The sequence below is a fragment of the Homo sapiens genome, chromosome 16, assembly GCF_000001405.40.
Source record: "Homo sapiens chromosome 16, GRCh38.p14 Primary Assembly".
Taxonomy (NCBI): Eukaryota; Metazoa; Chordata; class Mammalia; order Primates; family Hominidae; genus Homo; species Homo sapiens.
The window spans coordinates 85,771,729-85,799,594 of record NC_000016.10 but is presented as its reverse complement, the minus strand read 5'-3'; the positions used below and the strand labels follow the sequence as shown (position 1 = coordinate 85,799,594).

At 48.9% G+C, this 27,866-nt stretch overlaps 1 protein-coding gene, 1 long non-coding RNA gene and 1 pseudogene across 6 annotated transcripts, besides 3 other annotated features; 2 read left to right on the top strand and 1 right to left on the bottom strand.

Moving 5' to 3' along the window:
- EMC8 (ER membrane protein complex subunit 8) lies at positions 51-20,971 on the top strand. Of its 5 annotated transcripts, XM_017022867.2 has the most exons (6): positions 456-6,312; positions 6,706-7,373; positions 10,545-10,621; positions 18,315-18,384; positions 19,122-19,216; positions 19,728-20,971. In XM_017022867.2, exons 2-6 carry the CDS (start codon positions 7,299-7,301, stop codon positions 19,885-19,887), a joined length of 477 nt encoding a protein of 158 aa, XP_016878356.1. In that variant the 5' UTR covers positions 456-6,312; positions 6,706-7,298; the 3' UTR covers positions 19,888-20,971. The 5 variants fall into 5 exon arrangements, 4 of the variants coding, with proteins under 4 accessions (NP_006058.1, XP_011521115.1, NP_001135760.1 ...); NM_006067.5 differs by lacking the exon at positions 6,706-7,373 and having other exon boundaries at positions 51-530; XM_011522813.4 differs by lacking the exons at positions 6,706-7,373; positions 19,122-19,216; positions 19,728-20,971 and adding exons at positions 13,127-13,224; positions 13,304-13,372 and having other exon boundaries at positions 51-530.
- Positions 92-698: an enhancer, noted in NCBI's record as "H3K27ac hESC enhancer chr16:85832503-85833109 (GRCh37/hg19 assembly coordinates)". NCBI's record gives its function as "activates a minimal SCP1, AML or CMV promoter by ChIP-STARR-seq in naive H9 embryonic stem cells {active_cell/tissue: H9 hESC(naive)}" and the evidence as "EXISTENCE:reporter gene assay evidence [ECO:0000049][PMID:30033119]".
- Positions 160-329: a silencer, noted in NCBI's record as "silent region_7822". NCBI's record gives its function as "represses an Ori minimal core promoter by ATAC-STARR-seq in GM12878 lymphoblastoid cells {active_cell/tissue: GM12878}" and the evidence as "EXISTENCE:reporter gene assay evidence [ECO:0000049][PMID:35858748]".
- On the bottom strand, positions 6,662-7,180 carry LOC101928557 (uncharacterized). Its single transcript, NR_135193.1, has 2 exons — positions 7,001-7,180; positions 6,662-6,889 (listed from the first exon to the last, which is right to left on the bottom strand). It is a non-coding gene; the product is annotated as an uncharacterized LOC101928557 (long non-coding RNA).
- RNU1-103P (RNA, U1 small nuclear 103, pseudogene) lies at positions 17,696-17,820 on the top strand (annotated as a pseudogene).
- Positions 23,842-24,342: an enhancer, noted in NCBI's record as "H3K4me1 hESC enhancer chr16:85808859-85809359 (GRCh37/hg19 assembly coordinates)". NCBI's record gives its function as "activates a minimal SCP1, AML or CMV promoter by ChIP-STARR-seq in primed H9 embryonic stem cells {active_cell/tissue: H9 hESC(primed)}" and the evidence as "EXISTENCE:reporter gene assay evidence [ECO:0000049][PMID:30033119]".

Genomic DNA, 27,866 nt, shown 5'->3' with positions numbered 1-27,866 from the left:
CGTCGTAAAATGCCGGGCCGGGCTGCTTTCCGGCAGGCGTTGGAGAGGCTGCTTTCCGGCGGCGCCGGGCGAGAAGCGCGACTGGAGTCTGGGGCTGCGGCTTCCCAGAGGCGCGAGTCGCTTTTCCAGGAGCCGAGGCCCAAACGGGGCCGGGCCTGAAGGGTCCCCCGCCAGCCCGCGGCCGCGCCATCAATCGCCGCCGCCTCGTCCCGCTTCTCGGCTGAGGCGCCGCGCGGCCAGGCAGCGGGTCCAGGCCTCAGCCGCGCGCCCAGGGGCCTCCGGGGCCCTCCCGGGTCAGCATGCCCGGGGTGAAACTGACCACCCAGGCCTACTGCAAGATGGTGCTGCACGGCGCCAAGTACCCGCACTGCGCCGTCAACGGGCTCCTGGTGGCCGAGAAGCAGAAGCCGCGTAAGGAGCACCTCCCCCTGGGCGGCCCCGGCGCCCACCACACCCTCTTCGTGGACTGCATCCCCCTCTTCCACGGCACCCTGGCCCTCGCCCCCATGCTGGAGGTGGCTCTCACCCTGGTAAGCGCGGAAAGGGCCCCTTCCCCTTGCAGGCAGCCTGGCCTCCCCTCAGTCAGCAGAGAGGAAGCTGGCCCAGCGGTCGCCCTCCAGCAGGCTCCTAGGACCCGCTCCCTAGGGTTGCCGTGGCCAGGAATGGGGTGATCCACGATGGCGCTTGGGTCTTGGCGCTGAATAAATAGCGTCCCGTAGTAGCAGCGACTTTAACCGTCGTGGATGCTTTTAGAGGCACTTTAAGGCGACGAGTTATACGTTAGTTTCCTGAAATCAGTAGCCTTTGTAGAAACAAGTCATCGTTCACTTGGTGGGGATTCGACAGAGTTTCCCTTGAGGATTTCGAGTTGCAGGAAGTGTTCACGTTGTTGGGACATTAATCGCTAGGATTTGGTTCTTCGCACCTTCGCAGAGCCGATTCCTTATCTGGCAAAGTGTAAATGCTTCTTTGGCTGTCGGTACTCGGGCACCCCGGAGCTCAGACACTTGTAGAAAGGTAGTTGCATGGTCAGATCTGTGTGATGCATCTTAGGCCTGGCTCCCCTTGATTGAATGTGCCTGAGCTTTGTGTAAAGAGAATTTGTTCCCGTTAATGGTTAACAACTTATCTAGAATGTTTCCATGGCTTTTAAAAGCTAAAGAATTTCTGTGGGGCCGGGCGCGGTGGCTGACCCCTGTAATCCTAGCACTTTGGGAGGCCGAGGCAGGCGGATCACCTGAGGTCAGAAGTTTGAGACCAGCCTGACCAACATGGTGAAACCCCTTCTCTACTAAAAATACAAAACTTAGCCGGGCGTGGTGGCGGGCGCCTGTCATCCCAGCCACTCGGGAGGCTGAGGCAAGAGAATCGCTTGAACCCAGGAGGCAGAGGTTGCAGTGAGCCGAGATCACGCCACTGCACTCCAGCCTGGGTGACAGAGCAAGACTCCGTCTCAAAAAAAAAAAAAAAAAAAAAAAAACGAATTTCTGTGACATTAAACAGCAGGAGCAGACGATCTGTCCAACACGCTTTTATGTTTTTGTTTGCAATGACAGCTTTATTGAAGTACAGTGGGAAAAAAGATGTAGCATGCAGGTAGACTAGTTGGTAAGTGAATTTTAGGCAGTAGCTTTTCAGTTCCGGTGATCAATGAAGGGAAAAAGACCATCTATAAATTCCATCGAGTTGTTAAAACCTGAAGGAAAAGTAAACTGTAGCTTCAGACCTGCATACCTGAGCTGAGGTGCTGTTTGTTTTTCATTTAAGAATAAACTGTGATGCTAAAAAATAGTAGCTAATTGATGTAAGAAGTAGCTAAGCTTGAGAAGGTGTAAGTAGAATTTCTTTATCTGTGTCCCTCCTCCACCAAGTAAAACGAAGCCATTTCATAATCTACCATTTATAACTTAACTAATTATGACACCCAAGTCAGTTCTGGGCAAGCAAGAAGTATCTCTGGGCAAAGAGTCCTGGCGTAAGGTTCCTGGGCACATCTTTGAGTGCCTGTTAAAGTTAAACTTCATATCATTTCCGGGTAGGATTCAGATGATTATAATACTTAGATGATATTTATAAAACTAAGTATTTTAGCTCTTGAAGATATCTGCTGTCATTACTGAAACACCACTGGGGAGTGTGTGTGTGTGTTTTAATCCAGGTCTTTCCAACCATCTTTTTGTTTTTTTGAGATGGAGTTTCGCTCTTGTCACCCAGCCTGGAGTGCAATGGCATGATCTCGGCTCACTGCAACTTCCACCTCCCAGATTCAGGTGATTCTTCTGCTTCAGCCTCCCAGGTAGCTGGGATTTCAGGCGTCCACCACCACACCCAGCTAATTTTTGTATTTTTAGTAGAGATGGGGTTTCACTGTGTTGACCAGGCTGGTCTTGAACTCCTTACCTCAAGTAATACGGCCACCTCCGCATCCCAAAGTGCTGGGATTCCAGGCATGAGCCACTGCGCTCAGCCTTTCCAACCATCTTAATTGTTCTGTTGTCAAGAGAATTATTGGATCTGTGAAATGCATTGACTTGCAGGGAGCTAGATTCATCAGTAGCATTTATGCGGGATTATTCACTTTTCTAATAAATGTTTTTGAGTATCTGCTTTGTGCCAGGCCCGTGCTGAGGAGGGATATGGCTGTGGATGAAACACAGTACCTGCTTAGCACTTGAAGGTGCAGCAAGCCAGCAAGCACAGCACCTAAACCTCACAGGCGGAGCTTAGTAAAAAAGTGGCAAGGGATTCGAGAGAAGTCAGCCAGCCTAGGCTTGGGCAATCAGGGCAGTCAGGTTGCCCAGAGAAAGGAACATGCAGGCAGCGGGCCAGCCTTTGACCCTCAGGAGGTGGGGGATGGAGGGAGAACATTCAAGGGACCAGCATGTGCAAAGAGCAGGAGAAAATAGTGGGCGGGAGAGGAGAGCGAGTGGGGGAGTTTGGAGAGAGCAATAGGATGGAGTGTAAAGGGGCAGCGGGCAGAGAGAGTTGAGTGGTGGACAGATTGCTTTGTAGTGACCTTGTAGATCATGCAGAGGCATTTGGGCACCATCCTGAGGACAGAGGGAAGCCACTGGAGGAGAGTTGCGTGATCAGATCAGTGCCTTCGAGTGATGGCCCCAGCCTGCAGCAGAAAGGATGCTGGAGACAGGAGTACACCCAAGACTAGAGGCAGGGAGGTGGCAAAACTGAGTGCAGCATGGGTACGGAGAAGGGGACAGAAGAGAGAGCAGGTGGGAGAATCCACAGGTCTTGGTGACTAATCGTGCATGGACCTAGGGGAAAAGGAAGTAAGGGTGTTACCTAGGTTCCTGGCTTGTGCGCTGGGACGATGGTGCACTGGTGCCATTTGTTGAGGGAAGAGGCAGAGAAACAGGTCTGGAGGGGAGGTGATTACTTCTGTTTGGGGTATGTTAAGTTTGAGATGTTCAAATGAAGAAGTCCTAGGTTGAAAGGTGAAGAATGGGTCTGAGTACAGAGACCAGAGATGGATGTAGATTGAGAACCAGTGGTGTGCCGGTGACTTCTGAAGCCATGAGAGCAGGTCTTAGCACTTGAGGACTGCGTAGGGAAAAGCTCTCCAACCGCGTGTGTCCTCTGCTCTCACCGCCAACAGTCAACACAGAAGAAGACTTGTGTGACCGGATGTATAGGAGTTTCCCCACACACCAAGCAGCGGCCACCAGCTAGGTGTCTCCGCATTCTGTTCTGACACTGCCTACCTGGAGATAGTGTCAGAGCCCACGGGTTGAGGGCTCAGCAGCAAGTCCAGGCTCTGGAACCTCTGACCCACCAGCTTCAAGGTGGGGTTTCCATGGCTTCCTGTTTGGATTTGATTAATTTGCTGGAGCAACTCACAGAGCTCAGGGAAAACCTTATGTTTATGGGTTTATTATACAGGACACTGCAAAGGATACAGATGAAGAGACACATAGGGCGAGGTATGGGAAAGGGGCATGGAAGCTCCCCGTCCTCTTGGGTTTTTATGGGAGCTTCATGACATCAGCATTCCTTCCCCCGAGGTCTAGGGGGGACCCTCTCCTGGAGGTCTTAAGACCCACCGTCAGAAAGGCGGAGAGGGAACAGTGGAGTGGAAGGAGGGCAGGAGAAGGTGGGGTCCTAGCGCCCCTGAGGCTCACGCACCTGGCATTCTATCAAAAGACTAACCAGGGCCGTGAGGAGCCAGGAACGGGGAGGAAAACCAGTGTCTCTCATCACACCCCAGGAACGTGGCTTGGGGCACTCTGGCTTTTATGGGTTGAGTGGAGGAGGAGTCACAGAGCAACTGAGGACCAGCCCAGGAGTGGGAGAAGAAGGTGTGGTGGCTGCTGGCCATGTAAAATCCTGTCAGAAACTTCTAGGAGCTTCTTGAAGACAAACTTGAACCTCATTTGGAATGTCAGATGTTGCTTATTCTTCTCATTCTTAAGTAACCTTGACAGAGTTAAACACTTCTGTTCCGACTATGGGATGTGAATGCAGTACTTGACAGAGTTAAACACTTCTGTTCCGACTATGGGATATGAATGCAGTACTTGACAGAGTTAAACCCAGGAACTATAAACAACTGCATTCAAGTCACCTGTACATGAATTTTCCACGGGGGAGCAGGGCTGCCTCCCAAACCACTTACCAGGGAGGAAAGATGCCCAGAGGGGACAGTGACTGCCTGCTACCTGAGCGTGAGAGGGCACCGGGCACCGCAGGGGCCCACTCTGACCTTGCTCCCGCGCCTCATTCCTAGTTACAGTCTGCACTGTAGACATCCAGCCTCCAGCACCTCCCCCCACCACATGAGTCCCCATCCAGCAAGTAAGGTCCACACTTGACTCCCTGCGGTAACTACTCTTCAGCAGTGAAAACAAGCAGCAAGTTTTGCCAGGCAATAGTTATTTATACTGACTTTTCCGAGATGGAGTCTCACTCTGTCACCCAGGCTGGAGTGCAGTGGAGCGATGTCGGCTCGCTGCAACCTTGGCCTCTCAGGTTCAAGCGATTCTCCCGCCTCAGCCTCCCAAGTAGCTGGTACTACCAGCGCACACCGCCACGCACGGCTGATTTCTTTTTTATTTTAGTAGACAAGGTTTCACCGTGTCACCCAGGCGGGTCTCGATCTCCTGAGCTCAGGCAGTCCGCTCGCCTCGCCCTCCCAAAGTGCTAGGATTACAGACGTGAGTCACCGCACTCAGCCCTGACTTTTCTCATATTCACAAAAACTCATTCCCTCAGCAGTGGGCAAATATGAAAAAGACAGCAATCCAGTGCCCATGAAATAACTTTCAGAGGAAAGTTACAGGGGAAAATTTGCAGCTGGAGTCCATCCACAAATTTTGTACTTCAGTTAAGCTATTAAATTTATATTATTCACTTTTTGACTTAGTGACTTCCTAACCTGAAGGCAATGAAAACTCTCAGTGTTTAGAGCCATAGTTTATGAGGTTATCAGCCATAGAAGATGCAGTTTTCACAAAGCATCTAAATCCATGCAGCTGTGTAAATGAGGCCTTGTTCTCATGGCTCTGTTCCATTCAGAGAGCTTCCTATTGGAATTGTTTTTGATAAAGGGGAAAGACCATAGACTGTCTATCAAAGGACAACATTAGATTCCTTTGAAAGGCTTTTCATTATTTTCCATTAAAAAAATCCTTGCATTTGTGCATGCTTTTTGCATGCTTTTTATGTTTTTTTAAGTACTTACGCCTATTAACTTATTTATCCTTATAACCCTTTGACGTAGGTAGTGAAGGAATTATTCCTAATAGCAGAAACCCATAAAATGTTAGTATGGAAATTAGCTTGAACCCGCTTCTCTAATCCCTTTCTGCCCTTTTCCCCTTGTTGATTTCTAGTGCGGTGGAGTAGCTTTCTGTTACATTCTGCGCAGATGACTTGCTGGCTTGCTCACTGGCCTCATCACCATGATTTCAGGCTAGAATTCTTGCTGTGGCCTCCATGTGGGCCTGTCCTCTGCTCCTCTGCACGGCGGCTGCCCTGGAGCTCTCCCATGCCCCTACTCCCTCCTGCCCTTTGTTCATCTCCAGAACATTCACGTGCCACCTTGGGGATGGGGAGAGGGATGCTGTGGTTCCCCCTTTGAGTTCTTCCCCCTGAACTTCACCCTCTATCTCGGTCCCATTGACCTCCCAAGCTCTTCTTTCATGGTTCCCACTCCTTCTCATTCCATAGAAAGATCAGCAGCTGACTTGAGAAGGAACTTTCCTTCTCAGTGAAAATAACAGTTGCTCTACTTCTGAACTCCAAGGCCTACTTTTTGCTGCAGATAGGAAGGCTCAGCAGGTTACCCTCATCTTGTTGGTAAGTGGCAAGTTGTGGTCCCTGCCTCGCCTTCTTTACGGTTATTGTACAGTCACAAGGGGCGTGGGGGGATAGTGCAGATTTTAGCAAGGCTGCTGTGAGAAGCTACTGCCTCTGTGCAAAGAGTCTAGTTGGGAATGAAAGGGGTGGCCCCAGCCCTTTTAATAGTTCTCTTCCATGTCTGGAACAGAAGCAGCCAAAAAGGACATTGAGCAGAGGGTGGTAGACTCCTGCCAAGGTGAAAATGTCCTTTCTCTCTAAAAAGTAAATGAAATTGCATGAGTAAGTGCAGAATGCGGAAGGTGTCTATATCAGAGTCAGTTTGACTACATTGACAACAGTCTCCACAGAGTTTTCTCCTGACCTTTTATTTTCATCTTGATTTTTCACAAGATGCACATCAGGGTGTGGGGTGTCGTACAGCGAAGCAGGGACATGGAAATGGATTCATTGGGAACAGAGGTTGAGTGGCTTCTCGGCTGTGCCTTGTCTTGCCTCGCTTCGGAGGAAGCTAGTTGCCTTGACTCCTAGCTGCCACTTAGATCCACCGCAGCTTTTCATGCAGGAGCCATTTGGGCTGAGGGCAGGATCCTGCAGCCACTGGAGACCTGGCTGCCACACCCACACCTACACCACCAGCAAGCCCCATCCTCTTCCCCCAGCCCACTCCACTCCAGGGCACTCTCACCTGATGCCTAGTTCCAGATTCCGGACTGTCACAGGAAACTACCCTTATTAGAACTCATCCACCCTGCCGCTGTGAGTGCTGAGGCTTGGCCGAGTCTCCGTTCCTCCCTTCGAGTTCTCCATTCCTCAGTTGGTGAACGGGCTGTGTGCACCCCTCATAGCCATCCATACAGCTAACTTGGTTATTCTCATGTGTGTCATTCAAAAGTTCTAAATTCTAAAGCCAGGCCAGAGCTTTTGTGACCTGGTTCGCTTTAAGGGCAACCTCTTCAAAGAGGTTCTACTTAAAGTTCCAGGTCATGACATTTTTCTGCTGGAATTTGGTTGGGCCCTTGGAGTTTTCTTACAGGAATTTGTCCCTCAGCAGGCAAAATGTAAGTTGAGATATACATGTGTTTGTCATAGGAATCATCTTTTGTACCAGGTGGTTTCTGTGCTCTGAGAGTGGGTACAAGGTGATACCATATGTGTTTACTGGGCTATGAGTCCTAACCAGGTGGCTTCAGCCCAGGAAAGAGATGGAGTAGCCAACTGAGACTGCTGCTGGGGGTCTTCAGGAAGTTGCCTGTAGCTAAGTAAAAAATATGTCCTATGGTTTTTCCTAGAAAATGTTGTATGGTATGGTCAGCTGAGTAATAACCCCCCAAATATGTCCACATCCTAATCCCCAGGCCTTATGTAGCAAAAGGGATTTGTAGATGTGATTAAGTTAAGGGCTTGAGGGTGGAGAGAATATCCTGGATTACCTGGGTGTGCCTCATGTAATCACAAAGACCTTTGTAAAGGGGAGGCAGGAAGGTCAGAGTGAGAGGAAGAGATGGATGATGGAAGCAGAGGTCAGAGTGATGTGGCCATGAGCCAAGGAATGCGGGCAGCCTCTAGGTGCTGGAAAAGGCAAGGAAAAGGATTCTCCTCTAGAGCATCCTGAAGAAGCACAGCTCTGCTGACCCATTATAGACTTCTGACCAGTAAGATAAAAAATTTTGGCTGGCATCATCCTCAGCAAACTAACACAGCAACAGAAAACCAAACACCGCATGTTGTCATAAGTGGGAGTTGAATAGTGAGAACACATGGACACAGGGAGGGGAACATCACACACCAGCGCCTGTCAGAGCCGGGGAGCGAGGGGAGGGAGAGCATCAGGACAAATAGCTAATGCATGCGGGGCTTAAAACCTAGGTGACGGGTTGGTAGGTGCAGCAAACCAGCATGACACATGGATACCTATGTAACAAACCTGCATATTCTGCACATGTATCCCAGAACTTAAATAAAAATTAAAAAATAAAACATGCACTTTAATCAAGTACGGTTTATTTCAGAAATGGAAGAAATTAGGGAATTTGAAGTTAGAAAATCCAAAAAATGTATGCATTAAAAATTCTAAGAAAAACAATCATATGATAATCTCTATGGATGGTGAAAAATCCTTCAATAAAATTTATTTCTTGCCTTAAAAAAAAAAAATTGGGCATGGTGGCTTGTGCCTGTAATCTCAGCACTTTGGGAGGCCAAGGCAGGAGGATTGCTTGAACCCAGGAGTCCAAGATCAGCCTGGGCAACATGATGAAACCTTTGTCTCTACAAAAAATTTAAAAATTAGCCAGACAGGATGGCGCACACCTGTAGTCCCAGCTACTCAGGAGGCTGAGGTGGGAGGATCACTTGAGCCCAGGAGTTCAAGGCTGCAGTGAACTGTGATCTCACCACTGCTCTCCAGCCCGGACAACGGAGCGAGACTCTCAAAAAAAAAAAGTGTTGTTTTAAGCCACTAAGTATGTGTAACTTGTCACAAGGGCAATAGGAAACTAAGACAGTGGCCAATCTGACTGTGAAAATAAGGGCAGGCTACACTGGAGAGCAGGGATAGGGACACCCGGGGGGCAGAGATGTGGGTCACCTTAGGGGAGGACACACTCAGGAGGCCGGCCCATGATGGCACATGAAGGCTGGGAGCACGGTGCTCAAGGATCAGCTCATCAGGGAACTTGACCAAATTTAGAGCAAGCCCCTTTGATAGTGTATAGAGATGTTTGTTCTAAGCAGCAATAGAAAGCTTCTGGAATCTGTTCCATTAAGAGGTGATAGAAACAAAATATGAGTCGTTTTGGAGTTGTTTTCAGCAAAGTCACAATGATAGCACCATTATAGATATTTTACAGACATAATCCTGATCTTTTGGGTGGATGACCAGAATGTCTAGTTGGTTCACTGAGCCCTGGTTTTGACCCAATATGGTAATTCGTGAACTCTTAGGAGGCCAGAAATATCCTAATCCTGTGCAAGGCAGGGACCCTTGGACTGTAACTGTCTTGTCTGCTTTTGGTCGTGAAGGAGACTCAGAGGCCCAAACAAGAATTTAGGAAAAAGAGCAATAGGATTGTGTTTAAAAAACACACACATCCATTTTTAACCAGTTTATTCCCTACAAAAAAAAAAAAATCAAGGTACCAATTTTGTTTCCTCTTGTGCAGACTGAGAATAGACTTTATTACAGTGTATTCAAATTCCATTATGCCAAAACAGGATGAGCTTTTGTTGTTTTGAATAATGGCCTTAGACCTGCAGGAAGCTGCATCTGGTGAGAAACATGGTACCATAAAAGAAACCCAAAAACTTCAAAGGTCTGCCACCTTGCTTCCATTTCAAAGCACGCCGGAGAGAACTAAGGACATGTGCACGTGCCCCTTCCTAACTTGGGACCTCTTTACCCTACACCCCAACTGAGGGGTATTTCATGATGCGGTGCTTAGAATGCTGAGATGGAGTATAAAAGACTTTTTTTTTTTTTTTTGAGACGGAGACGGAGTTTCACTCTTGTCACCCAGGCTGGAGTGCAGTGGCATGATCTTGGCTCACTGCAACCTCCCCCTCTGGGGTTCAAGTGATTCTCCTGCCTCAGCCTCCCGAGTAGCTGGGATGACAAGCGCCCACCACCACGCCCAGCTAATTTTTGTATTTTTAGTAGAGATGGGGTTTCTCCACATTGGCCAGGCTTGTCTCGAACTCTTGACCTCAGGTGATCCGCCCACCTCAGCCTCCCAAAGTGCTGGGATTACAGGTGTGAGCCACTGTGCCTGGCCTAAAAGACTTGTTTTGAAAGAGACTGAGATTCCCTTCTGGCTCTGTTTCTATCTGGTTGTGCAAACTTAGAACCTCTCTAAGCTTTGTTTCCTTAACTATGAAGGATAATGATTTAAATAATTTTAAGCATTTCTAAAGCCCCAGTTCTTTATAGTATAAGAGAAGGTAGGTGAAGGTCATCTTCCCTCTGACTCTCTGCAGCACTGTACCAATCCAGTACCTGTAGACAAAGGGTCTTCTCGCTGGGACTGAGGAAGATAGTCATTCCTTATGTTCAAAGTCCTGCCCTTCCTGACCATTTTTTCCTGAGTCCTACCCTTTCTTCTGGGGTGTAGGGTATGAGGATTAAGATTCTGTCATGTCTTGTCCCAGCATGTGGCAGTGAGATCTGTGGTTTTTACGACTTGATATTTAAGGGAGAGTCATTCATCTTTTCCCAATTTTTGTTCCTCTTTCAGATTGATTCATGGTGCAAAGATCATAGCTACGTGATTGCTGGTTATTATCAAGCTAATGAGCGAGTAAAGGATGCCAGGTACGTGGATGCAGAACCCTCTGTGGGCGAGGAAGTGAGCACGTGTTGGGCAGACCCCGTCTCTCGTGTGCTTTTCGGCCAGATACGAAACCTGTGAGACCTACACCCCTTCCCTCTGTGCTTATTTGTAGTATTTGAGGCGAACTGTGGTGTGGATAATTCCAAACAACAGAAATTCCAAACATTTCTATTAACTTTGGAATTCTGTTTTGTGTCTTCTTTATTTTGCATGAAGGGAATTCATACAATGAAAGCGACAGTTGGCTTCCGACTTCTGTCCCTGCTCAGCTCTGCCTTGCTTCCCCTTCCCAGACTAGGGGTGGTGTTGGGCAGAGCACTGGGAAGGAATGTTGCTCTATTTGCCGGTAAATAGACCAGCCTGTAGGTTTGGGGTCAGTACTCTGATGAAAATGTGGTATTTGCTGCCCCCTTTATACTGGCTCCTTCTTTCTTTTCCTTTATCCAGATCCTTCCCCAACTGGGGCTCTCGCTAATAACAAAGCTGAGAATTTTTCTATATGTCTGCGTCATCTTGGTCCCAACAGAAAAACAGATGACACACTCAGGTGGTGATAATCTGAGGAGGGCTTAATAAGCAGGCTGTTGACAAGGCCTGGGCCGTAGATAACGCACAGGGGGTCGTGCTGTAAACAAGGCTGGCGACAACAGCCCAAAGGGTGGGGAGGAAGGAGCTGGGTAAACAAGTCCACCTTGAGAAAAGCAGTGCCCTTGGGCAGGTGGCCACAGCCAGCCTGACGTGGCCTCCCATTAGGGGAGAGGTGGCCCAGAGCAGTCAGTACATGATGTCCCCCTTCCATTTTCCTTTGGCTGAACCGAGCCAGAAGCCAGATGGGCAGCTGGAAAGTCCACGCCGTATATAACGGGCATGCGTCAGGCTGCCCTGACGTGGCTTCCTCATGTTGTCAGATAGAGCCGACCCTCCAGTGTCCAGGGAGATGGGGGTGCAGTGAAGGGCCCTGCCGTTGGGTCCACTTGCTCAGCACAGATGAGAAGGTGAGCTCAAGCACTTTGGAAATAATACAGTAAGCTGGTGACAGCATTGCTATCACTGATGAGGCACCAGTGTTTCTGATGAGAAACATGGTATCCTAAAAGAAACCCAAATTTAGAAACATAATTATCTTACCCTAGGAGGGCTGGGTCCAGGCACAGGATCCTGAGGGAGGCAGATGTCCTAGGAGATGCTGCACTCAAAGTCAGTCCGCTGAAGCCTCTGCCAAGGCGGTTGGGAGTGCGTGGAATCCCCATGCACATTGGCTCTTCTGCTGCTTCCTCTGAGCCCACGAGCAGCACTGGCCTCTCCGCCTTCAGCGCATCTCTTCTGACTCTCACTGGGATGTCCTCTGTTTGATATCGCCTGCCTCCCTTTGTTGATGAATCAGTGCCTCCCCTCTCAGTGCCTTCACTGAGCGAGAGCCTACCCACGGGGCCACATCCATCTTAGTCTTTGTTACATGAAAGACTAGGCGTGGGCTGAGGAAAGCGCAGCCCTCTGGCCCTTGCCCTCACGTGGCTGAGTTGAACATGAAGGACAGTGCAAACACAGGCTGTGGTGCAGGACAGCGGCCCCTGCAGGGGGCTTGGTGGCAGGGGCCGGGAGACTTAGACCTGGTAGGATGATCCCAGAAGTCCAGGGCATGGTGTCCTGTAAACCAGGCCCTCGAGAGTGAGCAGGGCCTTGTCAAGTGCAGACGTGGAGACCAGGAGGTCAGCATTCCTGGTTGGGGGGACAGCAGACACAGGTGAGGACGTGGCAAGGGCTGGGGCCGTGCCCACATGGAGGGAGATGCTAGGAAGTGAGGCTGCACAGGTAGGTTGGGCCACAGCTGAGGGCTCCTCTGTGCTCAGAAGCATTTTGAACTTCACCTTGCAAGCAGTGGGGAGCACCCTTGGCAGGAAGGTGTTCCTGGACCAAGCAGTGTCTGCCGTGGCTGTCCCTGCAGAAGGGAGAGGAGACTGGGCAAGTGGGAATGGCACCAGGTTGTCAGATGAGGGCAGGGGCCTCCCTTTCCTTAATCCCCCACCTGCAAATCCATGCCTGATGTGGTCGCCCCACATGGACCTGCGCAGGCTCTCCTATGCTCCTCTCTGCGCATGCCTCATCTGGCTCACAGCTCTCATGTTCTTACCTCTGTGCTGACCTCGTTACAGCCCAGCCTGGAATTATCCTACTCGGACACAGTTTTCCTGCTCTCCATACCTTCCTTCTAGAATGTCCTCCCTATCCTCACCTAGTCCACGTCCTTCTGCGTCCTCCAGGAGGTTTTGCAGTCCTTCATTAATACTGACTTTTAAATGCATCCGGAGCAGCCATTTGTCAGATGTGTAGAGAGGATAAACCTTAGCTAGGAGTCTGCCACCCTGGAATAGGGAATCCACCTCCCCCTCCCCCGCTGTGCCCAGTTGTTTGAGGAGGACACCTCAGGTAGGTAATGCCGTGCTATCCCTGGGCTCTATCGGGGTCATTTTATTTCATCCTCACAGCAATGCACAAGTGAAGAAACCAGCCGGAGAAGGTGGCTTCTCAGAGGCCACACAGCTTGGGAGCTCAGGAGCTAGGATCATGCCAACTTCTGACTTAAGTATGGTTTTGCTTCTGCCTGGAAAACCTTCCCCTCTCTTCAGCCAGACCTAGCTGAAAATTTGCTCTTCTTATTCTAGAAATATTGCCTCATTCACAGTGTCTTGCAGCATGATTTGGAGCCAAGTAGACCTGGATTCAAATTCTAGGTGACTTACTGATTAACCTCCTTGGGCCTCTGTGGCCCTGTCTGTAAAATGGAGCTGAGCTCATGCCTCAGAGAGTAGTCATGAGGACAGAATGAAATTGCGCAGTGTGTTTGTCCTTGTGCTTGGTTTACAGTAGTGGCTGGTGCTGTTACTAGTGCTGTGATGACTTTTTCTATTACTGTTCTAACGTAGTGTTTATAACTTTTATGAATTTCCTAAACTTTAGGTCATTCCATCAAGTTTTATTATATGATTCATTGTTGGCCAGTGTTTTGCTTCATAGTTAGCATTTGATATGAGTAGGTTTCGGTGCCCGGCAGAGAGCCCTGGCCTGAGGCAGACACTCAGGAGGAAGCTTTTAGATACACATTGTAAGATGGCACCTACACGCTGGCCCGACATGGTGCTGTTGAGGGTGAGCAGAGTGGTCTGCCTTCAGGGTGCCTGCAGTTTCAGTTGGCAGCTGGCTCTTCCTAGGAACAAGGAGTTCCTGACTAGCAGGAACCACAGCGTGGCAGTCTTCATTCAGGATCAAGTGGATCAGTATTGGAGATTCAGTGCCTAAGACAGAGAAATGCAAAGTTGGCAGCTGTTTCAAATACTTTGACAGTTCATTAACTACACATTTTTTTTTTGGCGGGGCGGTGGCAGAGCAGACAGAGTCTCACTCTGTCACCCAGGCTGGAGTGCAGTGGCACGATCTCGCCTCAATGCAACCTCCACCTCCTGGGTTCAAAGTATTCTGCTGTCTCAGGCTCCTGAGTAGCTGGAATTACAGGCACCTGCCACCACACCTGGCTAATTTTTGTATTTTTAGTAGAGACGGGGTTTCACCGTGTTGGCCAGGCTGGTCTCGAACTGCTGACCTCAAGTGATCCACCCACCTTAACCTCCCAAAGTGCTGGGATTACAGGCATGAGCCACCACACCCGGCCAACTACAAATTTTTAGACTTCTTTTAAAATAATAAATTTTAGGCCAGCCATGTTGGATCACACCTGTAATCCCAGCACTTTCAGAGGCCAAGGCAGGAGGATTTCTTGAGCCAGGTGTTCAAGACCAGTCTGGGCAACATAGCAAGACCTCATCTCTACAAAAAAATACAAAAATTAGCTGGACATGGTGGCCTACGCCTGTGGTCCCAGCTACAAGGGAGGCTGGGGTGGGAGATCACTTGAGCCTGGGCAGTTGGGGCTGCAGTGAGCCATGATCTCGCCACTGTACTCCAGCCTGGGCAACAGAGCAAGACCCCATCTCAAAAATCAGTGAATAGAAAGACAGATGTTAAGAGTTCTTGAGCATCTGCAATGGTAGTTTTTCTTTTTAATGAGTGTTTCCTTACCCTCTCCCCAATAAAAATCAACAACCAGCATGATCAGTGTTAAGTAGGAGGGTAAGGGCTTTGCAAGCTCTTCATGGCAAGCGGCCCTGCCTTTTGCTTTCCAAGTTCCTCAGCAAATGCAGGAGCAGGCAGAGGTGGGTACATGGGCAGGCCTCCTGAGGGCTCTGTACCCACTCTTCACCACTTGCCGTTAGTGCTGTGGGGACCTGGCGCCCACCGAGTCCTGGTCAGTGCAGTGAAGCACTGCCTTCCCTCTGCGCTAGGAGCCACCATCGCACTGCTTTCTTCAGTACGATTGGCTTCTACCTGAAAACCTCCCCTTCCCTCTTAAGTCATATTTTTCTTAACACAGTCACATTTTTAAGTCATATTTTTCTTAATACTGCAGATTTATAATCAGTACATCACTTTGTCAATTTTGAAAACGAAAATACAATAATCATATAAAATAATTTGTTTTTTAAAAACATTATTAATTTTTTTTAGCCTAATCACAAGGGAAGGATTGTAATTGTATATAGTGTGCTTTGTTAAATAACTCACAATAATGCATGTATTTTTATGGCTGTTAAAAGAAAGATGGGGCCAGGCGCGGTGGCTCACGCCTATATTCCCAGCACTTTGGGAGGCCATCGCGGGCAGATCACGAGGTCAGGAGATCGAGACCATCCTGGCTAACACGGTGAAACCCCATCTCTACTAAAAATACAAAAAATTAGCTGGGCGTGGTGGCGGGCGCCTGTAGTCCCAGCTACTTGGGAGGCTGAGGCAGGAGAATGGCGTGAACCCGGGAGGCAGAGCTTGCAGTGAGCCGAGATCGCGCCACTGCACTCCAGCCTAGGCGACAGAGTGAGACTCCATCTCAAAAAAAGAAAAAAAAAGAAAGATGGATGGCTTGGTCCCTGCCACAAAAAGCTGAAAGCCTTGATTGTGCAGGGCAGACAGGATGCACAGAAGGAAAGCAGCACGTGCCATGGACTCTGTGTTAGAGCCTCTTAGAAATAAATCCTCAGAACTCCAGCAGGGCAGGGGGTCTCATCCAGGGTTTAGCAGGGCTTTGTGGTGAGGGTGGCATGTCTTCTGGGCACTGAAAGAGGGGAAGCAATTCAGTAAGGAGGCCTTGGTGTGGAGGGCCAGACGGGACAGTGTGAGTGAAACAAGACGGGCATGTGAGGCAGATGACATGTAGGCAGATTTCCTGACATTGAAGACACAGCATTGCCCCTGTGGCTGCACACGGTAGCTCAGTTCACCGTAACGAAGGCCTGCCTCTGCCAGCCTGAGAATAGCAGCCTTCATCTTGCAGGCAGTGGTGAGCAGTAGTCTGTGGGGCTGTGAGCACCAGGGGACGTGATGGAAGTTCTGTTTTAGGAAAATTTAGTTCAGGAGAATTTTCAGGTTACATCGGATAAGAAGAGCCTAAGCTGAGCTTCGTAGCACGTGCCTGTGGTCCCAGCTGCTTGTGAGGCTGAGCAGGAAGGATTGATTGAGACCCGGAGTTTGTGGCCATGATCACACCTGTGAATAGCCACCATGCTCCAGCCTGGGCAACGAAGCGAGACTCTGTCTCTTTTTTTTTTGACGTGGAGTCTCACTGTTGCCCAGGCTGGAGTACAGTGGCATGATCTCAGCTCACTGCCACCCCCGCCTCCCGGGTTCAAGCGATTCTCCTGCCTCAGCCTCCGGAGTAGCTGGGTCTACAGATGTGCATCACCACACCCAGCTAGTTTTTATATTTTTAGTAGAGACAGGGTTTCACCATGTTGGCCAGGCTGGTCTCGAACTCCTGACCTCATCAGGTGATCCACCTGCCTCGGCCTCCGAAAGTGCAGGGATTACAGGCGTGAGCCACTGCACCCAGCCGACCCTGTCTCTTTAAAAAAGAGAGCGAGCGAGTGACCGTAGAAATTATGAGACCGGTTAGGAAGCAGTTTTAGAAGCCCCTGCCTAAGGTGAGAGACTGAAGGAAATAAATGACAGGGAGAATGCAGGAAAGGAGGGCAGAGAAAGGACCTGTGGCCTGCAGGGTGGGGAAGAGCAGAGGGAAAGGTGGCCTCAGGTCGGAGAGGCTGGAAATGGACTGGCCTGCCTGAGAGTGGTGGGTTCCCGCTGGGAGGCTTTTGAGGGGGTAGCAGTCTTGGGGCCATCAGGCAGTGGTCAGGAGACTTCCGGAGTGCTGCTCTGCAAGGGAATGGGTTAGATGGCAGATTGCACAGAGCTGTGGTGAGGACATGGAGCAAGACTAGCGGCTTGTTAAAGAAGTTGAAGAAACAGTCATGGAAGGGAGGAGGGAAGCTGGACAGCAGCTAGAGGGAACCGGTTCAATGCTTTTGTTTTTCCCTGAAAATAAAGACTTACACAGATTTGAAGGCAGAACTGGGGCTTGGGCACAGAAAGAATATAAATAAGGCCCCCGAGGAGAAGGCCCCTTCCTGGCATAGGATAGAAGAATAACTTTGTGTTTGGAGACATGGTGCAGGAATGGTGGAGGAGCTGCTCTATTATTAGCTCTATTAACTTAAGGTAGAAAGGTGTCATTTATCAGGGTTGGGTGGCGGCAGGGCCAGAGCCAGCAGTGGAGGCTCATGAGCGTGGAGAAGATGTGGAAAGGCTGAGGAATTTCTCAGAGGGTGACGGACTGCCAGCTGCCCTGAGGTTGCTCTTACTTGTTACAGTGGACAAGCTGCTTTGCTAGCGTGCAGATGGAGAAGGCGGGCCCGGGAGGCTTGGAGTTTGGCCCAGGAGCTGGCAGGTGCCCAGCAGCAGTTTCACTGCCCGCTTCAGGCGACTCTCCACTGGCTTCCTGGGAGCCTTCCGTTAGGAGATGCTCTCTCAAGATCCCCGTCACCAGGGCTTTCTGGTTGGAATGAGGCAAGGACCTGCTTTACACGGTGCGCCCCATTACCCAACAGCGTTTCCTGTCCTTGCTGGCCACAGCCATCACAGTGGGGCTGTCATCAGCCACTTTAAACAGGCAAAACGTATTTACCTGTCAGGGAAAATACCAAGATCACAAAGGTGGTTTTCCCAGGGCAAGGTTCGTCCATTGCACTCCAGATGTGCTGACCCCTGCGATTTCTTCATATGTGGGGAACTGCACTCACACTCTCCCCAGCAATACAAATAAATAAGTAGGCTGGGCACAGTGGCCCATGCCTGTAAGCACTTTGGGAGGCCAGGGCAGTAAGATTGCTTGAGGCCAGGAGTTGAAGACCAGTGTGGGCAACATAGCAATACCTCCTCTCTACCAAAAAAAAAAAAAAAAAGCAAAAAAAAACACTAAAAAGTAACTGGGTGTGGTGGCCTGTGCCTATAGTCCCAGCTACTCAGGAGGCAGAGGTGGGATTGCTTGAGCCTAGGAATTTGAGGTTACAGTGGGCTATGATTGCGTCACTACACTCCAGCTAGGGCAGCAGAGCAAGACCCTATCTCTACCAAAAAATTAAATAATAAGTAAACCAGCGAAGCGAGCACGTGCAGCCTGTTGGCTCTGCCAGTCTTTCTGTCATTGCTTGTTAAGTCTCAGTGGTGTTGACTGTGCCTTTTGTAAACAGTGTTGAATGGCATTAACTGGAATGTGGTAGCCTATTTCTTTGACAGTCCAAACCAGGTTGCAGAGAAGGTGGCCTCCAGAATCGCCGAGGGCTTCAGCGACACTGCGCTCATCATGGTAAGTCGCTTCTGTGCAGCATGTGGGAGGCCCTTGCGCCTCCTCTCACCAACCTGGAGCTTGCTCTGCGGCGGTTTCCTTTCCGCTAACCCCTTCACTCATTTATCTGCTTGAGACCATTGCCGCCTCTTGCAGTTTTCTCTCAGCTGCAGACCAGTTGAATCCCAGGCCATGGCTTCTGTGCTTCCGCATCACTACACAAGTGGGAGTGGGGTCCCCTGCCAGCCGCAGCACCTGGGAACTTGTTAGAAATGCGAATTCCCAGGCACCCACCCCAGACCCCACTGAATCAGAAATGCGGGGGTTTAGCCCAGCAGTCCATGTTAAGACACCTTCTAGATGATTCTGGTCTGAACATGCCAAGTGTGAGAAGCACAATTAGAACAGCCAGCACAGCCTCTAGGGGCACAGGGAAGGAAGGTCCTTGTATGTGAGCAGATGACATCAAGGGCCTTGCTGAACAGCCTTGATTCAGACAGAATCCTAGGATGAGGGAAGAAGTCATGTTTGGAAGCTTCGCTTTTGTGAAAAAACAATGAAGGACTTGACGTTTTCCTGCATGACACAACAGTTTTCCTCAGGCCAGACACTCGCGCCACTCTGCATACAGGCTCTGTCGGAAGAGTCTCTGCCCCAGCCAGCGTGGGCACGGCTGCAGGGAGAGCCCCGAGGAGGCGCCTGCCGCTGCTGTTTGGCTGGCATTCTGTTCACTCTCGTGTCCTTTGCCTTGTGCTCAGGTAGACAACACCAAGTTTACGATGGACTGCGTAGCGCCTACGATCCACGTGTACGAGCACCATGAGAACAGATGGCGGTGCAGAGACCCACACCAGTGAGTGCGCCCCATGCTGCCGCGCGGGCTGGGCTCCTTCAGCGCCCGGCCACGTGAGAGCCACTCTCACCCCGCCTGTGTTTTCAGTTAGCGTTTTCTCCAGAAGCATGATACCAAGCATATTCCCCGGCTCCTGTAGGCCCCAGTGTTCCAGCGCTTCCAGGCAGTAGAGGGAACCTCAGTGGTACCCACAGGTCTTCCCACCCCAGGCGCTAGAGCACAGACACTCTTCCCAGGCCTGTGCTTTGATGTATCTGTGGCCACTCAGAAAGCTTCAGTCATCTGCCTCCAACTTTCTCAGAATTCCACGTGAAAGGCGTCCCTTCCATGTATTAACCATGTCTTCTATGCTCTGTATACCTCTTCATGCGTTTGAAATGCACATGTTTCTCAGTACTCTGCACCATCTCTGTTCATACCACTGTGCATGTGGCTGGCCTTCTCTCTTGATGCTGTTACAAGCCGCCCGTTTTCACTGTTAGATGCTGACTTCTTCATGTTTGACCCGTAGTGACTACTGTGAAGACTGGCCAGAGGCACAGAGGATCTCAGCCTCGCTCCTGGACAGCCGGTCCTACGAGACGCTCGTGGATTTCGATAACCACCTGGATGACATTCGGAATGACTGGACAAACCCAGAGATCAATAAAGCTGTCCTACACTTGTGCTAGGCAGGCACCGCTGTGACTGGGCTCCGGGCCTTTCCACTACGTTGAAGAAGAAAACCTATTTTTAAATGTAAATAAAATATCTTGTAGCCTGTGTGGAAAGCTGACCGTTTTAAGAAGTGGCATGTGCCTTGAAAGGGGGCAGAATGTTCAGTCGGTCGTGTTTTTAACACAGAGTCTCTAGAAGAGGTGCAGACATCCCGTCTGACTGTCCCTGTGGACTCTCTCAGTTGTATGTTGCTATAATCCTCCAAATCAAAGCTCTTTCTGCTTGTGCAAGATTGTTCCTATTAAACAGTTTTAACTAACCTTTTATAATCTGGAGAGAATACTTTTTAAGGCTTTTGAACTATCTTTTTTTAAAAAAAAAAAAAAAAGCCCACATCTTATACTCCAATGAGTGTGTTTGTGAGTTTTTATCCTGTTTGAATTTTGATGTCGTCCAGGCGTCCTGGGATCAGGGTAGACACGTGGAGTGCTGGTGCTGAGCTGTTTGAGAAGCTCTGTGTGGGTGTTTCTGTGGTCAGGTAGGCTGGGCTGTGAACAGCACTGCTCCACATGGTGTCGGCTCACAGAGCCACCGCAACTCTGCCCAGCGGGAGTGACACCACTGATGCCACAGAAGCCTTTATCGTTAGGGGCAAAAGCAGACATCTCTGGTAGCAGGAGCTCAGTGTGGTGCTCTTCAGCCACGCAGAAAGCTCACGTGCCTGCAGGGCCAGGAAAGGGAAATGATCGTTTCTTTTGTATTAGGAAAAACAAGACTTAGACTTCCCGAGTTGTGCAGAGTGACGTCTGTACTTTTTATACTTAGAACATTTGGTCAAGTTTTGTAACCAAACCTTAGGGAATTGAGAGGGAAACTTTATGGTACGTTTACCTTTTTTCCTTTTTATATGAATTATTTTGTACAAAGTTCAGAGAGCGGTACCTTTCCTACTGTCTTTTCTTTGACTCCATGGAGGAATTTGTAACGATCGGTGTGACCTGAAAGGGTTTGTGATACAGCGGTCACTATTTTCTCTTAACACATAGGAAAAAAGTTCAGACATCGCTACAATAAATGTGCTTTATTTGATCCACCAAATTCTCTCTTCCCCTTTCTTCAAATACCTCTTACTCTTGATTTTTTAAACTGGCGTTCTTTCACGTGGGGAGCACAGGAAAGCGTGAGGTGTCTGTGCAGCCCCTTCTCTCCCCTGCCCTTGGATGCCAAAGCATCACAGCTGGAGCGAGGTGGGCAGTCTTGTTCCGAATGGGCTTGGGTTTGTTTCATAAAGGGAGAAGAATCACCTCCAGCATTTGCACGTAAGAAGCTGTTTTGTCCTGAGACTGAAACAGCAGCGTAGGCCCCTCCAGTTAGAAGTCCAGGGCAGCTGGCAGAGCTACTTGGAATGAAGGTTGGTGAAGGCTCGTTTGGGAGGCATTTTAACGACACAGCCCTCCTAAAACCCTTCAAGGTGGCTTTCCCTCTGCCACCTCCCTGTGGAATTCTTTTCCTTGGTTCTCCTCCTGCCTCCCAGGAGCATGTGCTGTCCTAAAACCCTTCAGGGTGGTTTTCCCTCTGTGTCACCTCCCCGTGGTATTCATTTCCTTGGTTCTCCTCCTGCCTCCCAGGAGCATACGCTGTCCTCTATTTTGGATTTAGGCCAAAGCTTAAGCCACATAACCTGTTCCCTGTCTATGGCTGAGTCAGGCTTAAATTTTCTAAAGAAAACATATGAGATACCCTGAAGGGAAGGATATATTTGTGAAAAGCCAAAACAGATTTCCAAAGTGCAGATACCTGCTCCTGTATTCCTTGTAAAAATAGCAGAAGCCTCTGCTGAGCCCTTAGACCCTGTGCTGACCCCTCTCTCTTGGTCTACACACACTGTGCTGTGTGGCCTGTGCTGCCTCCCTCTTACCACCTCCCCAAAAAGACAGAGTCTGGCCCTCAGCTTAGGCTCTATCTTGCCCCACCCAGGGTGAAAGAACAAGCCTGTTGCAGAGCCACCTGAAACTTACTCACACTCTGCTTTTTTGTAGGAAAGACAGGAGCAACACAAAGTATGTTTGTATGTTGAAAATCTGCCCTACAAAATGTTGAAGCCAGGATCCAGTGCTGTGCACCTGTGGTTCCAGCTACTTAGGAGGCTGAGCAGGAGGATGGTTTGAGCCCAGGATTTTGAGGCCAGCCTAGACAACTAGCAAGACCCTGTCTCTTAAACTAAATCTGAGAGGGGTTACACCTATGTTGACGTGTGTTTAGAGACACCTGCCTTTAGAGCCAGCCATCTGCTTACAGTCATTCTGGTGGCCATTTTCATCTTTCATAGCATCCATCCGTTAAGAAGTAAGACACATATATTATTAGTTTATATGAAAATGTCATATTCTATTTCTAGTCATGGTTACCTTTAAGATCCGAGGGTACTAAACATGAAAGATAGGCAGTAACTTCATAAATACTCTAAAAAGCAGTGCACTTACTAAGGAAAAGTCAACTTTGCTAATGAAATTGGATTGCTTTAGAGCAGAAAACTAAGACATCTTAGTTAAATTTTCAAGTCAGTTTTCCATGGATCTGGTATTTGTAAGCCTCCTGGATGTAAAAAGTCCTTGTATAATTAGCTTTGGTTTATTTTATTTTTAGACAGGGTCTCGCTCTCACTCAGGCTGCAGTGCAGTGGCAGGATCATAGCTCACTGCAACCTTGAACTCCTGGGCTCAAGTGATCCTCTACTCCATCCTGATATTACTTTAATAGCGTATTTTTCTGGTAGTTGTCTCGAAAAACCTATTGTTTCTGCGAAGTGCGTTTCTCAGCTTTTCACATCAGCCTTTTTTGTTTTGATTTGCATTGGCAAGACAGTGTTTCCAAAACCTCCTTTTTAGCATTACACTTCTCTTGCCACAGTAGCTACTTTATGCATCATGGTAAATAGAAGCAGAAAAATAGCCTTGAGCAGCAAACTCTATTCCATACGGACATTTTTAGCAATTTTAGTGAAGATAGCCGAACTTAAAAATAGACTTCCGCTTTAGTAATTGACATTTCTTGAGGCTTCCCATCAACTCTTAATGCCTCTTATGCATTGGACTTTTTTTTTTTTTTTTTTCAGTTCAATCAAATGCCTGGTAGGAATTGCTAGCGTTGCCCCTGCCAACTCTCAGGTATGTGGTGTCTTAATCTGACTTCATTTCCATACATCTCAGAATCCAGGAGATAATGTAAATATTTTCATCCTCATAAAGTTGACTCGTTACTCTTTAAAATCCTCACAATATTCTTGAATGGGACATAATATCTAATCGAGTTTGTTATTTCTTAGAAGTGAATCACCTGCTGGGCGTGGTGGCTCATGCCTATAATCCCAGAACTTTGGGAGGCCGAGGGGGTTGGATCACCTGAGGTCAGGAGTTCGAGACCAGCCTGATCAATATGGTGAAACCCCGTTTCTACTAAAAACACGAAAATTAGCCGGGTGGGGTGGAGTGCACCTGTAGTCCCAGCTACTTGGGAGACTGAGGCAGGAGAATTGCTTGAACCCAGGAGGCAAAGGTTGCAGTGAGGCAAGATCACACCACTGCACTCCAGCCTGGGCAGCAGAGTGAGACTCTGTCTCAAAAAAAAAAAAAAAGAAGAAGAAGAAGTGAATCACCATTCTTCTGAGGAGCCTTTTTTCCCTTTTAGGATTAACTTCTTGGAGAAGATGTTTCCTTGCAGGTTTCTGAAGTGCTGCCATTAGAGAAGCCATCTGAAGACTTCTGTGGAATAGGAGATCTAGCCCAGCTTTAGAACAGCCGAGAATCATGTTCTTGGTCTTTTGCTTTCAGAGCCAAGTGACAGGCACCCGTACGGCGGCCACTTGAGTTTGACTAGAGGAGCCCTTCAGCTCTCACTTGCTGTGTTACCTTGTAAAGCAGAATAGCATCCTGTATTTAGAGCTGGCTGAAAAAATTCTAGATTCCATCAATACACCTAAAGAATTGCAGTTCAGAATACTCATGACGTTCTGTGGCCCAAGTGCCTGCCCTCTCGGCCCCCGGAGGCAGGACCCCCAAGTTCCACCAAGCACCCTGGGTGCCCACCCTCACTGAGGAGTTCAGTGAAACCTCTAAGGTGGGCCAGGATTCAGTAGCCTCCAGGTTCTCTTCTCTGCATTCCCTTCATTACTAAGAATACAGATTCTTCTTCAAGGCTGGACTTTCTCAAAAAGAATCTTGTTCTTGCTTCCAGCAGTGCCTGTTTCCCATTCTGTGTGTGTGTGTGTGTGTGTGTGTGTAAGACAGAGTCCCTCTCTGTCACCCAGGCTGGAGTGCAGTGGTGTGATCTCGGCTCACTGCAACCTCCGCCTCCCAGGTTCAAGTGATCCTCCCACCTCAGCCTCCTGAGTAGCTGGAATTAGAGGTGCCCACCACCACGCCTGCCTAATTTTTGTATTTTTGGTAGAGACAGGGTTTCACCATGTTAGCCAGGCTGGTCTCGAACACCTGACCTCAAGTGAGCCGTCCACCTTGGCCTCCCAAAGTGCTGGGATTCCAGGCATGAGCCACCGCACCTGGTCCCCATTCTTAAGATAACCCGGCAGAGCTGCGACAGCCCCTGCGGTTTCCACTAGCAGGGGGAGCTAGTGTGGTTGGGGGTTAGGGTGCTGCTCCCAAAGCCTCCTGGGGGCAAATCCCAGCTCTACCACTTTCTAGCTCTGTGGCCTTGGGCAAGTTACCTCGTAGTGATAACACCTGCTTGCATGGGTGTTACGGAGACCACAGCGCTTTTGCTAATACTTAGAATATTCGAGCCATGATGAAAAAAGTTCTTAACTGGTTTGTTGTTGTTGTTGTTGTTGTTGTTTGGTAAATATAGAACATTCTGTTGACCAGACTGACCTGAGAGGTACTTACTCATAGGAAACCTTCAGTGAACATTTATTGAATGAGTGAATCAAACCATTCATTCCCAAATGAGAGCAGTTTACATCTGCCTTCCCAGCAACCCTATGACAGTTCCAGTTGACAGACAAGGAAATCAAGGCCCAGGCTGCAGAAGTGACTGCCTGAGGCTGCACACCCAGTAAGCAGCAGAGGCTGTGGCAGAGGACTGCACAGGGCAGCCCCACTGCTGCCAGCAAAAAGCCATGTCTTCCTCCACTTTCCATCCTCCCCTTCCCCATTCTTGCTCACCCCCCACCCCAGTTTTAATACATTTTCTTCCTTTCTACAAAATCAATGTATGTTCATGGTAGAAAATCAAAGAGAAAATAAAAATATCTCCATTCTCCCATGCCCGCTCCTTCACTAGACAAGTGTAAGGAAGACAGAAAGTAGTCGAACCAGCAGGGATTTTGTGAACACCTTTATTGTCCCAGATCCTGAGATACAAAGAAATGGAAAGCATGGCGCCTGCATTTGAGGAGCTTACAATGTAATCTAAGAAGTAAAAGGTGGGCTGGGTGCAGTGGCTCACGCCTGAAATACCAGCACTTTGGGAGACCGAGGTGTAAGGATCACTTTAGGCCAGGAGTTCGAGACCACCCTAGACAACATACTGACATCCCATCTCTACAAAAAAAAAAAAAAAAATTAAAATTAGCCAGACATGGTGGGGCACACTGTAGTCCCAGCTACTCAGAAGGCTGAAGCAGGAAAATTGCTTGAGCCCAAGAGTTTGCGGCTGCAGTGAGCCATGATCATGCCATGGCACTCCAGCCTGGGTGATAGAGCAAGACCCCATCTGTCTCTCTCGCTCTTTTTTTTTTTTTTTTTTTTTTGGTAACAGGGTCTTGGTATGTTGCCCAGGCTAGTCTTTAACTCCTGGGCTTAAGCAGTCCTTCTGCCTCAGCCTCCCAAAGCGCTGGGATTACCTGAGCGACCACACGCAGCACCCCGTTTCTTTAAAAAAAAAAAGCAAAAGGCATAAATACCAGTAAAATATTACAAAGTTTGTGCAGATTCCTGGGCTCAGGTCCAGAGAATTCAGATTCGTTGAGATTTGGGGCCCAAATCCTGCATTTTTAGCAGGTGGATTCAGGCCATGCTATAAATAACCCTGATCTTTAGCCAAAACCTGCATTTTACTATGAAGAATTTCATTTTATTATTATTATTATTATTATTGAGACGGAGTTGGTCTGTCACCCAGGCTGGAGTGCAGTGGCACAATCACGACTCTATAGCCTTGACCTTCCAGGCTCAAGCCATTCTCCCACCTCTGCCTCCCAAGTAGCTGGGACCACAAGTGCATACCACCACACCTGGCTAATTTTTTTTATTTTTTATAGAGACAAGATCTCACTATGTTGCTTAGGCTGGTCTGGAACTCTTGGCCTCAAGCAATCCTCCCACCTCAGCCTCCCACAATGCTGGGATTACAGATAGGAGCTACCGCACCCGGCTTGCGAATTTCAAATATGCAGAAATAAGCAATTTGGCCAATGGCACATGTTCAGCCAGGAACTGAAGAATTGGGGCATAAGGTTGAATGCTATGAAATTGCTAATTTAGTAAGTCAAAACCTCAAACATCAGCAATTTCATAGGAGTCGACCTAACAGAATTCAGACCTCCTGAATGAACGCTGTTATCTGTCTCCACAGGAGGCCATCTGATTTTCTGCTCTTTCAAAATTTATTGCACAAAGAATGTGTGAATGTGATCTCGATTAAGAACAGTGGAGCAACATGGGGGCGCGGTGGCTCACGCCTGTAATCCCAGCACTTTGGGAGGCTGAGGCAGGTGGATCACCAGGTCAGGAGATCAAGACCATCCTGGCTAACACGGTGAAACCCCATCTCTACTAAAAATACAAAAATTTAGCTGGGCTTGGTGGTGGGCACCTGTAGTCCCAGCTACTTGGGAGGCTGAGGCAGGAGAATGGCGTGAACCCAGGAGGCGGAGCTTGTAGTGAGCTGAGATCGTGCCACTGCACTCCAGCCTGGGCGACAGAACGAGACTCCATCTCAAAAAAAAAAAAAAGAACATTGGAGCAATATAAAGCAGACAGATTGTGAGCCATCTCAGCCCTGGAGCCAGGACGGCAAGAAATGACAGGGCTTTACACTGCTTTCTGTCTCCCAAAGCATCCTACACATAGAAGACCTAGTTGTTTATTGGTGTTTTTTTGTTTGTTTTTTTGGGATGGAGTTTCACTCTTGTCACCCAGGCTGGAATGCAATGGCGTGATCTCAGCTCATTGCAACCTCCACCTCCCGGGTTCAAGCGATTCTTGTCTTTGCCCACTGAGTAGCTGGGATTACAGGCGCCCACCACTACACCTGGCTAATTTTTGTATTATTAGTAGAGATGGGGTTTCACCATATTGGCCAGGCTGGTCTCGAACTCCTGACCTTAGGTGATCCGCCCGCCTTGGCCTCCCGAAGTGCTGGGATGACAGGCGTGAGCCACCGCGCCCGCCCGTAGTTGTTATTTTTACTTAATTTTTCAGAAGTTGAATCTCTAGTCTGTCACGTACTCCCCACTTCCAGCAGGCAGCTCTGTAGCAAGGCCTCTCTGTCAGCTGCCTGTCTGGTCTCTGGGGCCCTGGCCCAGTCCCTGTGTGTGCAGGACATGCCCCCAGAGACAGGGTATTGATCCCTATTTCCTTCAAAATAGCTCTACCTTTGTCACCAGGATAATGGCTTGTTGGTTTTTTTTTTTTTATCCAAACACAAAAAGGTACAAACTAAAAAAGCAAAATCACCTAAAATCCCCCCAATGGCTGAATATCCTTCTAATCATCTCTCTCCTAAATGTTGGGATTCTTTATTTTTGGCTTGTGAAGTCTGACATTTAAATTTGTTGATAGAGTTGTATGGTACAACACTTTTTTTTTTTTTTAGACGGAGTCTCGCACTGTCACCCGATTGGAGCACAATGCCGCAGTCTCGGTTCACTGCAACCTCCGCCTGCTGGGTTCAAGCGATTCTCCTGCCTCAGCCTCCCGAGTAGCTGGGATTACAGGCGCCCGCCACCACGCCCAGCTAATTTTTTGTATTTTTAGTG